General features: G+C 42.2%; 2 annotated features.

The window, feature by feature from the left end:
• Positions 213–502: an enhancer, noted in NCBI's record as "active region_29783". NCBI's record gives its function as "activates an Ori minimal core promoter by ATAC-STARR-seq in GM12878 lymphoblastoid cells {active_cell/tissue: GM12878}" and the evidence as "EXISTENCE:reporter gene assay evidence [ECO:0000049][PMID:35858748]".
• Positions 10,508–11,018: an enhancer, noted in NCBI's record as "NANOG hESC enhancer chrX:77309981-77310491 (GRCh37/hg19 assembly coordinates)". NCBI's record gives its function as "activates a minimal SCP1, AML or CMV promoter by ChIP-STARR-seq in primed H9 embryonic stem cells {active_cell/tissue: H9 hESC(primed)}" and the evidence as "EXISTENCE:reporter gene assay evidence [ECO:0000049][PMID:30033119]".

Raw genomic sequence — 13,570 nt, 5'->3', positions numbered from 1 at the left:
CTCAAGCTAAATTTTCCCCTCAACACTGAAACCTTCACAACTGGCTTCTGAAGAGAAGGGCTGACCCATCAGGGAATAGCAGTCTTTGACCTCACTCTTTCACTGGAGCCTACATAATACAGAGTGCACAGATTTGTCAGCAGTCAAATCAAACACTTTTCCAGCAGGAGATAAACTTAACTCTGAGATCAGAAACCTCATCTTGTCACACTTACGAGGTTTATCATACCTCATGAGAACTTCTGAGTTTCTTTCCAAGGCTGATGACCCCATTGCTTTTGCCAGCATCCTTCAAAGGCATTGTGAACTTGTAGACAGGGGCAGAGAATAAGGGTCTGTGGAAAGCTCAAAATGTGTAATGGAGTCATAGTGAGAGTTTAAAAAAAAAACATGACTCATATGGAACTCATGACTCACTCTCATGAGGAGTGTGACATTCCTTCAAATAACGCCTTATACCATCTGTGAAAAGGGACTTTAAGAGTCTCAGTCAAAAGCTCATTATAGGCCAGGCACAGAGGCTCATGCCTGTAATCCCAGCACTTTAGGAGGCAGAGGTGGGTGGATCACCTGAGGTCAGGAGTTTGAGACCAGCCTGGCCAACATGGCAAAACCCCATTTCTACTAAAAATACAAAAAATTAGCTGGGCATGGTGGTGGGTGCCTGTAATCCCAGCTACTTGGGAGTCTGAGGCAAGAGAATCGCTTGAACCCGGGAGGCGGAGGTTGCAGTGAGCCGAAATTGCACCATTGCACTACAGCCTGGGCAACAGAGCAAGACTCTGTCTCAAAAAAAAAGCTTGCTATAAAGTGTAAATAGCTTATTTTTTAAAAAATATTCTAGGCTTTCTCTGTGGAAGTGGAAGGAATGGATACTTCCATTTCCACCCTTGGCAGTTTTTTGACAGTGCTACTATTTAGCATTAGCGTGGGAATGGAAGAAATGAGAAAGGAGGTGACCCAGGGTCCATACTCTAGTCTAAGGGATCTAATGGAACTTGATGCCCAGAAAAAGCACTTCAGAATTGCTTAGCATTGACAATTTTCAGTCTTGTCACACGATTTTCCATGACGTTTTACAGAAGAGAAAAGGAGGCCCAGAGAAGTAGTGAGACTGGAGGACAGGAGAGTTCCCTGACTCCCTCAAGGGACTTGCAAGGGTGTGGGTGGGGGGACTCATTTTGCTCAAATTGACCTCAAACCCCTTGAGGGAGGGGGAGCACGCAGGTGAGTGGGTGCAGGAGCCAGGTCAAGTGCCTTTAGATGCTGGCAGGAACAAATCCTGTACCAGCTTGCAACAGTGTCTAGCAGTTGCCCATGACCTCTGGAGCCCCAGAAGATGTGCGTTATAAATAATGCCCTTTTAGCAGTTGCCATCTGTGGACAAATGGCTTCCCTGAAGCCTGGCCTTCTTCCTGCTCCATCCCCCTTTCAGCTCCCCTTCTGCTGAGGGCCACTTCCACTGCTTAATAAAGTCTTCACATTCAACACTCTTCAAGTCCATGTGACCTGATTCTTCCTGGACACTTGACAAGAACCCAGTTACCAAGAGGGTATGTATGACTGAAATTCAAATCCAAGCCTCCTGACCTCAAATCCAGTGCTCTTACCACCTCAGCAGAGGTGGTGCAAAACAGAACTTGATGCCTGTTCCCCAAAGGCTACTGCATAGACTGTGGGTAATTTGAGCCCAGAGTTCTGTGTAGAATTCTACCTGCTCCTTTTAACTGCCTGCTCCTGGCATATCTGAGGTGTGGTGAAACCCAATCAAGAATGACTGCAGTGGTCAAAATGGAAATTAACCCTAAACTTGTATATGCTGTCTTAGAGAGTTTATTAGACTGAGCTTGGAATTACATTTTTAAAGCATTATAATAACTTGTATAGCAGATTTTGCACAGTAGTTACGGCAACACCCATCTTGGGATGTATGTGGGGACCTCAAACTCTTAAGAAATGCTTAAGCTGCTGGGTATGGGCAGAAAGGTATAAGTATCAGGGATCAGAGGCTTATTGGGCAATATTAAAATAAATGCTTGTCTGCCTCTATGTAATGCCAGTGTCTATGGTGGAATTTCTGAAGTGAGTTACTTTGAAGAAAAAATTATTTTTTCTTGATCCCTCAGTCTCTAGCAATGCTATCTATTTCTTGGTACCATTCTGAGAAACCAAGGACTTCTTCCCATAATGCCCTGTATATTGCTGGGATGCAATCAAGAGTCAAGGAAAACAACATACCTGTTAGAAGCTCTTGGTACATGTGATGGTTAATACTGAGTGTCAACTTGATTGGATTGAAGGAGGCAAAGTATTGATCCTGGGTGTGTCTGCGAGGGTGTTGCCAAAGGAAATTAACATTTGAATCAGTGGGCTGTGGAAGGCAGACCCACCCTTAATCTGGTGGACACAATCTAATCAGCTGCGAGTGAATATAAAGCAGGCAGAGAAATGTGAAAAGGCAAGACTGGTCTAGTGTCCCAGCCTACATCTTTCTCCTGTGTTGGATGCTTCCTGCCTTCAAACATTGGACTCCAAGTTCTTCAGTTTTGAGACTCAGACTGGCTCTCCTTTCTCCTCAAGCTTGCAGACAGCCTATTGTGGGACCTTGTGATCACGTAAGTTAATAAACTCAGATATATATATATATATCCTATTAGTTCTGTCCCTATAGGGAACCCTGACTAATACAGTACACTTGGTACACGTTCCTGTTGTTCCTCCTTCTGTAGTCAGATTTTTTCTAAAATAAGGACCTTCTCTTGGGAATCTTCAAAGCCTTATGATGGTTGCTCTCACATATCAATCAGCAATCAAGATGATTGATTCACATATCTCTTCAGACACCTCTTAGGACATGTGGCCAAAGGCAAGAAGCATTCTCTTCCTTTTCAGATTTCATCTTTTTCTCCAGGCTCTGGGGAGCTTCTTCGCAAGTGTCAAAATCCTGCTTGTCATGTGTTACAAAAGCAAACAGGTTTCTAATGAGATTTCACCTTCTGCCCATTACAGATTCCTCCAGATTTCTTGCTCCCTGGAAGCTCTTGGGGTTGCTCAGCTGGTTCAGGCCCTGTTTTGGGAGCAGTTCCAGCAAATGTGCCTAGAATTGCACAGTTGACTGGTAGAGAGAGGCCTGTCTTCCCCTCTTTCCTTCCTGAAACCAGTGTGCTACTTTTACCTCTAGGTTCCAGCTGTGTTCAAGTCTTGTGACCAGGCTGTCTCACCTTACTCCTTTCCCATCTGACCCTTTAATTCTACCACAAATTTGGCTGCCTATCTGAAGAGATTTTCCATTTTGTCCACATTTAGTTTGGTTTAGGGTACAGAATTTGTTTTTTCCCCTAAAATTATCCCCAAGAGAAGCTTGCGAGGAGACTGAATCCTTAAACTGCCATGCAATCAACAACTGATTTGAGACAACTACTATATAGAGGGAAGAAGAAACACACAAAAACCCAGTTACAGGGCCAGCCCTTGGCAGAACTGAGAAATTTCTAGCCAGGTCTTGGTAGTTTAACCTTCACATATCTCTATTGTATCAGGGACCAAAATTGCCTTCTACCAGGTATGTCACCCTCCAGAAACTTGGGGATGCACCTCCCTTTGATAGCCCAGTGCTCCTCACATTTTTTTTTTTTTTTTTTTTTTTTTAGACAGAGTCTCGATCTGTCTCCCAGGCTGGAGTGCAGCGGCACAATCTTGGCTCATTGCAACCTCCGCCTCCCGGGTTCAAGTGCTTATCCTGCCTCAGCCTCCTGAGTAGCTGGCATTAAAGGTGCCACCCACCACACCCAGCTATTTTTTTTTTTTTTTAAGTAGAGACAGGGTTTCACCATGTTGACCAGGCTGGTATTGAACTCCTGACCTCAGGTGATCTGCTCGTCTCGGCCTCCCAAAGTGCTGAGATTACAGGCGTGAGGGCACCCGGCCTGGGTTTTTTTGTTTGTTTGTTTGTTTTGTTTTGTTTTGTTTTGTTTTTGTTTTTGTTTTGAGACAGTTTTATTCTTGTTACCCAGGCTGGAGTGCAATGGCACCATCTCGGCTCACTGCAACCTCTGCCTCCCGGGTTCAAGCGATTCTCCTGCCTCAGCTTCCCAAGTAGCTGGGATTACAGGTGCTCACCACGATGCCTGGCTAATTTTTCTATTTTTAGTAGAGACGGGGTTTCACCCTGTAGGCCAAACTGGTCTCAAACTCCTAACCTCAGGTGATCCACCTGCCTCAGCCTCCCAAAGTGCTGGGATAACAGGTGTGAGCCACTGTGCCCAGCCCACTTTTAAGCACTGGAGCCACAAGGTTTTAGTAAAGGTGTAGTTCAAAAAAAGAGATGAAGATGGAATCATATATTCTGCAATAACTTCATAATGGGGAGGAGGTGAGCTACCCCCAGACAAGGTCTTTTGTTTGTGGATGAGGAGACATTCTCTACCAGGATCCATGAGATTTGTGGCAGTGTCCTCATTAGGGGTGGGAGAGGGACTCTCTTTTAGCTTTTTAACACTCTTGCTCATACTATGTATCCTCTCTTGTTTTCTAATAATTATAATAGCTAATAGTGAAAAGTATAGCACATATATCGTACCAGACATTGTAATAAGTGCTTTATATGCATTTACCCAGGTAACAAACAACTCTATGTGGTAAATATTATCACTGTCTCAGTTTTTAGATGAAGAAACTAAGGCGTGGAATGATTAAGTGGCTCAAGGACACCTAGCCAGTGAGGAGCAGAGCTGTTATGGCATGCCCCATTCGTCCAAGCTCCTATGTGGCTTCTGTTGATCCAATGTACTGTCTGCTGGTGGGTTAGGCTAGTGCATTCTTCTCTTTGGGAACCTGGATCTCTCTTGCTCATGGCACTGCCAGCTTTTCTGAACACTCTGGATATGCTTTGAGGCCTATGCCTTAAAAAAAATTACTTGTTTTGGCTGAGACAATTTAGAAAACCGCAAACTTTTTTTAAAACAATTACAGTCACACTAAGTGATACCACTCCTAAAACTGTCTTTTCATTAATTGTTCTGGGAATACTATTCCCTATCAGACTTTCATTCATGAAAAGGTCTTTAGAAGCTTACCAGTAAGATATCCTCCCCTTCTTTGCCACTCAGAGACGACTTCTTTATGAATTTTCTTCTAGAAACCATTTGTGCTTAGTTCTCCCAATTAAGTTACCAAGAAAGGTTGAAGTGAAAGCCAGCCATACTTTAGCCCATTTTGTAAGTAATTTATGAAATAACTTCAAGTGCTAGTGAGTGCTATTTTTTGCAGGTGAATATACCAGAATGCTGAACTGGACACTCTCAGAATTGCACATTCTTCCAACCAAGCACAGCCTATAAACCAATGAAGTCTGATGCCACAAAGAAGAAACATTTATTTGAATGCACTGTTTTATCTCCCTAAAATAATAAAATGAATTCTATTTTTGTCAGATGCTTAATCAGTAGACAACTCCCTCCTCCCTCTCCTGGGTCTGAGATGAGGCCATCTAATTTCCCAGTCTGCCCTACTGGAGAAATACCTGGAGGGAGGAAGAAGAAGGGAAAATGGCAGATTGAGGATTGATTTATTTATGGTACTGCGATAACTCTTCCTGGAAACAGAAATGGGTGTGGGAAATGACCTCTTCTTTACTTCTCCCCTATTGAATCCACTGACAATGAAGGTGTCACTGCATGGTCTTTCAAGAACAGGATCAAGGTATGGGATTTCTTGTAAGTAGTACTTTTTTGTTTTATTTCATGAGAAAATAAAGGGAAGACATAAAGAAATTAGATAGGAAGCCCCAGAGAGCATGTCCTCTAGATGGTGAATAATAATTCCATTCTCCTTGCTTGCGATTTGCTTAGGAATAGGTATGTGATGTGATTCTGACCAATAAGACACCAGGTGGATTCTTCTTGGGCTTCTGGGAATGTTTTCTTACCCTTAAAAAGTGGCACAAATAAGATACTGCTACACATCTATTTAAAACATCTTAGTTTGCTGGTAAAGATGTGAAGCAACTAGAACTCTTCTATAGCATTGGTGGAAATGTAAAATGGTACAGCCACCCTGAAAAACAGGGTGTTTCTTATAAACATATACTTTCCATGTGATCTAGCAATTGTACTCCTGGGTATTTACCCAGGGTTTCTCAATCTTGGCACTGCTGACATCTCAGGCCGGCTAACTCATTGTTGTGGGACGCAGACTGATAAGGTTTGGCTGTGTCCCCACCCAAAATCTTATCTTGAATTGTAATCCCCGTAGTCCCTATAATCCCTGCGTGGCAAGGGAGAGGCCAGCTGGAGGTAACTGAATCATGGGGCTGTTTCCCCTGTGAAAGAAAAATATCTTGGGCCCCCAGGATCACTAAGGAAAACTCAAGCTAGAAAATGCTTAGGGGAATATGCGGTGTTTGGTTTTTTGTTCTTGCGATAGTTTACTGAGAATGATGGTTTCCAATTTCATCCATGTCCCTACAAAGGACATGAACTCATCATTTTTTATGGCTGCATAGTATTCCATGGTGTATATGTGCCACATTTTCTTAATCCAATCTATCATTGTTGGACATTTGGGTTGGTTCCAAGTCTTTGCTATTGTGAATAGTGCCACAATAAACATACGTGTGCATGTGTCTTTATAGCAGCATGATTTATAGTCCTTTGGGTATATACCCAGTAATGGGATGGCTGGGTCAAATGGTATTTCTAGTTCTAGATCCCTGAGGAATCGCCACACTGACTTCCACAATGGTTGAACTAGTTTACAGTCCCACCAACAGTGTAAAAGTGTTCCTATTTCTGCACATCCTCTCCAGCACCTGTTGTTTCCTGACTTTTTAATGATTGCCATTCTAACTGGTGTGAGATGATATCTCATAGTGGTTTTGATTTGCATTTCTCTGATGGCCAGTGATGATGAGCATTTCTTCATGTGTTTTTTGGCTGCATAAATGTCTTCTTTTGAGAAGTGTCTGTTCATGTCCTTCGCCCACTTTTTGATGGGGTTGTTTGTTTTTTTCTTGTAAATTTGTTTGAGTTCATTGTAGATTCTGGATATTAGCCCTTTGTCAGATGAGTAGGTTGCGAAAATTTTCTCCCATGTTCACTCATAGGTGGGAATTGAACAATGAGATCACATGGACACAGGAAGGGGAATATCACACTCTGGGGACTGTGGTGGGGTCGGGGGAGGGGGGAGGGATAGCATTGGGAGATATACCTAATGCTAGATGACACGTTAGTGGGTGCAGCGCACCAGCATGGCACATGTATACATATGTAACTAACCTGCACAATGTGCACATGTACCCTAAAACTTAGAGTATAATAAAAAAAAAAAAAAAAAAAAAAAGAAAATGCTTAGGGGAAATCTGCCTCCCATTCTATTCAAAGTCACTCCTCTGCTCACTGAGATAGATGTATATCTGATTTGCCTCCTTTAGAAAGGCTAATCAGAAACTCAAAAGAATGTAACCATTTGTGTATCACCTACCTGTCACCTGGAAGCTCCCTCCCCCTTCCAGTCTTCCTACCTCTGCTTCAAGTTGTACCGCCTTTCCAGATGGAATCAATGTACTCCTTACGTATATTGATTGATGTCTCATTTCTCCCTAAATGTATAAAACCAAGCTGTTCCCTGACCACCTTGGGCACATGTCATCAGGACTTCCTGAGGCTGTGTCACAGGTGTGTCCTCAACCTTGGCAAAATAAACTTTCTAAATTAACTGAGACCTGTCTCAAATTTTCAGGGTTCACACCCCCATGCTGTTCTCATGATAGTGAGTTCTCACAAGATCTGATGGTTTTATGAGTGCTAGGTATTTCCTCCTGTGGTCCTTTTCCTTCCTACCTACCATCCTTCACCTTGTGAAGAAGATATCTTGCTTCTCCTTCGCCTTCTGCCATGTAAGACGTACCTGCTTCCCCTTCACCTTCCACCATGATTGTAAGTTTCCTGAGACCTCCCCAGCCATGCTGGACTGTGAGTCAATTAAACCTCTTTGCTTTATAAATTACCCAGTCTCAGATATTTCCTTATAGCACTGTAAGAACAGACTAATACACAGACCCATGCACTGTAGAATGTTTAGCAGCATCCCTAGCCTCTATCCACTAGAGGCCAGTAGCACTGCCCCCACCCCAAGTCTCTAGATATTGTCAAATATCCCTTGGTGGGGGCAAAATAGTCCCCAGTGAAGAACCACATCCCTAGAAAAATGAAAACTTATCTTCAGAAAAAAAATCTGTACCCAAATGTGTATAGGGGTTCTAATCATAATTGCCAAAAACTGGAAACAACCCAAATGTCCTTCAGTGAGCGAATGGCTAAACAAATGGTGGAAATCTATTCAATGAATTAACACTCAGCAATAAAAAGGAAAGAGCCGTTAATAGGCATAACAAATTTAATGGATGTCAAGAGCATTATGCTGAATTAAATAAGTTAGCCTCAAAACATTACACACACTATATGATTCTATTTATATGACATTCTTGAAATGATAAAACTATAAGGCCAGAAAACAGATCAGTGATTACCAGAGCTTACATATAAAGGAAGGTGTGACAGAGGGATAAAATCAGGGAGTTTTTTGGGGTGATAGAACTATTTGGTATACTCATTCCGGTGTTGTTTACATGTATGAAAGCTAGTAGAACCACATGCTTTCTGTTGTATATTGCATCCCACATCAATCCATTAATTCCCTTGTACTTCCCTGTCAGAGCTCTTACATGGCTACATGCATTGTCAAGAAACAATAATATTTTGAAAGGAATCTATTTTTCTGAGCAGCAGATCTCAACAGTGGGTTTAAAATATTCAGTGAACCATGCTATAAACAGATGTGCTATCATCCAGGCTTTGTAGTTCTATTGATAGAGCACAGACAGAGTAGATTTAGCATAACTCTTAAGAACCCTAGGATTTCAGAATGGTAAACGAGCATTGGCTTCAGTTTAACATCACCAGCTACATTTTATCACCCAACAATTGAGTCAGACTCTCTTTTTAAAGCTTTAAAGCCAGGGATTGACTTCTCCTCTGTAGCTATGAAAGTCCTAGATGGCATCTTCTTCCAATAGAAGGCTGTTTTGTGTACATTGAAAATCTGTTGTTTAGTGTATTCACTTTCATCATCTTCTGGACAACTTACTGCAGCTTCTTCATCAGCACTTGCTGCCTCACCTTGCACTTTTATGTTATAAAGATGACTTCTTTCCTCAAACCTCATGAATCAACCTTGGATAGCTTCCCATTTTTTTTGAGCAGGTCCCTCACCTCTCTCAGCCTTCATGAAATCAAAGTGACTTAGGGTCTTGCTGTGGATTAGGCTTTGGCTTAAGGGGATGTTGTGGCTAGTTTGATCTTCTATCCAGACAACTAAAATATTCAAATTTACTCCATATCAGAAGTAAGGCTCTTTTGCTTTCTGATATGCTTGGATTTGTGTCCCCACCCAAATCTCATGTCCAGATTGTAATCTCCAGTGTTGGAGGAGGAACATGGTGAGAGGTTATTGGATCATAGGAACGGACCTCCCCCTTGCTGTTCTCGTGATAGTGAGTTCTAATGAGATGCAGTTCTTTAAAAGTGTGTAGCGCCTCCCTCTTTACTCTCTTTCTCATGTTCCCACCATGTAAGACATGCTTGCTTTCTCTTCACCTTCCAACATAATTTTAAGTTTCCTGAGGCTTCCCCAACCATGCTTCCTGTACAGCCTGTGGAACTTTGAGTCAATTAAACCTGTCTTCTTTACAAATTACCCAGTCTCAAGTAGTTCTTTATAGCAATGTGAAAACGGACTAATACAAAAAAATTGGTACCCAGGAGTGGGGCATTGCTATAAAGATACCTGAAAATGTGGAAGTGGTTTTGGAGCTGGATAATGGGCAGAGGTTGGAACAGTTTGGAGGACTCAGAAGAAGAGAGAATGATGAGGGAAAGTTTGGAACTTCCCAGAGACTTGTTAAATTGTTGTGACCAAACTGCTGATAGTGATATGGATAATGAAGTTCAGGCTGAGTTGGTCTCAGATGGAGAAGAGGAACTTATTGGGAACTGGAATAAAGGTCACTCCTGCTATGCTTTAGCAAAGAGACTGTTGATATTGTGTCCCTGCTCTAGGAATCTGTGGAACTTTGACCTTGAGAGTGATGATTTAAGGTGTCTGGCAGGAGAAACTTCTAAGCAGCAAAATGTTCAAGATGTGTGTATTAGTCCACCCTCATGCTGCTATGAATAAATACCTGAGACTGGGTAACTTATAAAGACAAGAGGTTTAATTGATTCACAGTTTTGCATGGCTAGGGAGCCCTCAGGAAACTTACAATCATAGTGGGAGGCACCTATTCACAAGGCAGCAGGAAAAAGAATGAGTGCCAGCAGGGAAAATGCCAAACATTTATAAAACCATCAGATCTCATGAGAACTCACTCACTATCATGAGAACAGCATGGGGGAACTGCCCCATGATTCAATTACCTCCCACCAGGTCCCTCTCATGACATGTGGGGATTAAGGGGATTATAATTCAAGATGAGATTTGGGTGGGGACACAGCTAAACCATATTAATTTGGCCTGGCTCCTTCTAACAGCATATGGTCATATGCATGACCAAAGAGATAATCTGAAACTGGAACATATTTAAAAAGAAAGCAGAGCATAAATGTTTGGAAAATTTGCAGCCTGACCATGTGGTAGAAAAGAAAAACCCATTTTCTGGGGAGGAATTCAAGCCAGCTGCAGAAATTTGCATAAGTAAAGAGAAGCTGAATGTTAATATCCAAGACAATGGGGAAAACGCCTTGAAGACATTTCAGAGACCTTTGCAGCAGCCCCTCCCCTCACAAACCTGGAGGCCTAGGAGGGAAAAATGGTTTTGTGAGCCAGGCCCAGGGCCTCACTGCACTGTGCATGCAAACTCAGGACATGGCACCCTGCATTGTGGTCATTCTAGCACCAGCCATAGCTAAAAGGTGCCAAGGTGCAGCTCAGGCCATTGCTTCAGAGGGTACAAGCCTCAAGCCTTAGTCACTTCTATGTGGTGTTATGCTTGCAGATGCATAGTGGGAAAGAGTTGAGGCTTGGCAGCCTCTGCCTAGATTTCAGAGGATGTATGGAAATGCCTGGATGTCCAGCCAGAAGTCTGCTCCAGGGGTGGAACCCTCATGGAGAACCTCTACTAGGGCAGTGCAAAGGGGAAATGTGGGGTTGGAGCCCCCACATAGAGTCCCCATTGGGGTGCTGCCTAGTGGAACTATGAGAAGAAGGTCACCATCCTCAGACCCTAGAATGGTAGATTCACTGACAGCTTGCACTGTGTACCTCAAAAAGCTGCAGGCACTCAATGCCAGCCTGTGAAAGCAGCTCTGGGGACTGTACCCTAAAGAGCCACAGGGGCAGAGATGCCCAAGGCCTTGGGATCCCACTTGCATCAGTGTTGCCTGGATGTGACACATGGACTCAAAGGAGATTATTTAGGAGCTTTAAGATTTAATGACTGGCCTGCTGAGTTTTGGATTTGCATGGGGCTTGTAGCCTCTTTGTTTTGGCCAATTTCTCCCTTCAGGAACAGATGTATTTACCCAATGCCTGTACCCCCGTTGTATCTTGGAAGTAACTAACTTGGTTTTGATTTTACAGGCTCATAGATGGAAGGGACTTGTCTCAGATGAGACTTTGGACTGTGGACTTTTGAGTTAATGCTGAAATGAATTCAGATTTTGGGAGACTGTGGAGAAGGGATGATTGTATTTTGCAACGTGAGAAGAACATGAGACTTGGGAGGGGGCAAGGGTGGAATGATATGGTTTGGATTTGCATCCCCACCCAAATCTCACATATGAATTGTAATCTCCAATGTTGGAGGAGGTGATTGGATCATGGGGACAGACTTTCCCCTTGCTGTTTTCATGATAGTGTGTTCTCATGAGATCTGGTTGTTTAAAAATGTGTAGCACATCCCCTTTCACTCTCTTTCACCTGCTTATGCCATGTAAGATGTGCCTGCTTCCTCTTTGCCTTCCATCATGATTGTAAGTTTCCTGAGGCCTCTCCAGCCACACTTCCTGTACAGTCTGCAGAACTGTGAGTCAATTAAACCTCTTTTCTTCACAAATTACCCAGTCTCAGGCAGTTCTTTATAGCAATGGAAGAATGGACTAATACACTTTCTTTTTTTTTTTTTTCCTTTTCTTTTTCAGAGATAGTGTCTTGCTCTGCCACCCAGGCTGGAGTGCAGTGGTGCAGTGGTGCAATCATAGCTCACTGCAATCTTGAACTTCTGGGCTCAAGTGATTCTCCCACCTCAGCCTCCCAAGTTGCTAGGAATACAGCATGCACTACCACATGCAGCTAATTTTTTAAATTTTTTATAGAGTCTCACTATGTTTCCCAGGCTGGTCTTGAACTTCTGGCCACAAGCAATCCTCCCATCTCGGCCCATTTCAGACTTCACCTTCAAAACTGTAAGATAATAAGTTGGTTTTAACACACTACATTTGTTGTAATTTGTTACAATAGCAATAAGAAACTAACATAGTCAGTCACCCAGCTGGTAAGTAGCAGAATTGGTATCTTGCAAATAGGTGTGATGGATTCCAAAATCAGCACTCTTTCCGTCACTATGGGGATGTGGTGATTTTAAAGAAACTGTGGATTCAAAAGTGGAAGGCAATGAGCTGTAAAAAGCAAGAAGAGCATTGGAGTGCTGATAATGGGGTCTACTTGCCTTCAAATAACTTCTTCCATATGGCCTGATGTTTTTCATTTCAATAATTATGAAGTCATTTGGGTTCAAAAGCAGTCTTTTCAAATTATTGCAAATACTACTAGCAAGATCCAAAGGTCAGTGGCACTTTAGGATGTATTGAGTTAATCTCAGTTTTTCTCCTATACTCGGTAATAATAACTTCAATGAAGAAATTGGAGTTTTGATAATAGTCATCCTAACTGGAATGAGATGGTATCTCAATGTCATTTTGATTTGTATTTTCCTGATGATTAGTGATGTTGAGCATTTTTTCATATACCTATTGGCCATTTGTATGTTTTCTTTTGAGAAATGTCTGTTAACATCTTTTGCCCATTTTTAATAGGGTTTTTTTGTGGTTAATTTCTTATATATTCTGAATATTAACCCCTTGTTAGATGTATAGTTTGTGAATATTTTCTACCACTATGTAGGTTGTCACTTCACTCTGTTAATTTAGAATGGCTATTATTAAAAAAACAAGTGTTGGCAAGGATGTGGCAAGAAGGGGAAATGCTTACGCACTGCTGGTGGGAATATAATACAGCCACTACAGAAAACAGTACAGATGTCCCTGAAAAAATTAAAAATAGAACTACCATATGATCCAGAAGCCCCACTACTCTGTGTATTTCCAAAGGAAACAAAATCAGTACATCACAGATATCTGCACTTCCATGTTTACTACAGCACTATTCACAATAGCCAAGACTTGAAATCAACCTAAATGCCTGACAACAGTTGAATGGTTGAAGAAAAAGTGGTATATCTACACAATGGAATACTATTCAGCAATAAAAAGAATGACATCCTGTCATTTGAGAA

The sequence above is a fragment of the Homo sapiens genome, chromosome X (assembly GCF_000001405.40).
Source record: "Homo sapiens chromosome X, GRCh38.p14 Primary Assembly".
Taxonomy (NCBI): Eukaryota; Metazoa; Chordata; class Mammalia; order Primates; family Hominidae; genus Homo; species Homo sapiens.
The sequence above is the reverse complement of the archived record's forward strand: the minus strand, read 5'-3'. Positions and strand labels throughout refer to the sequence as shown.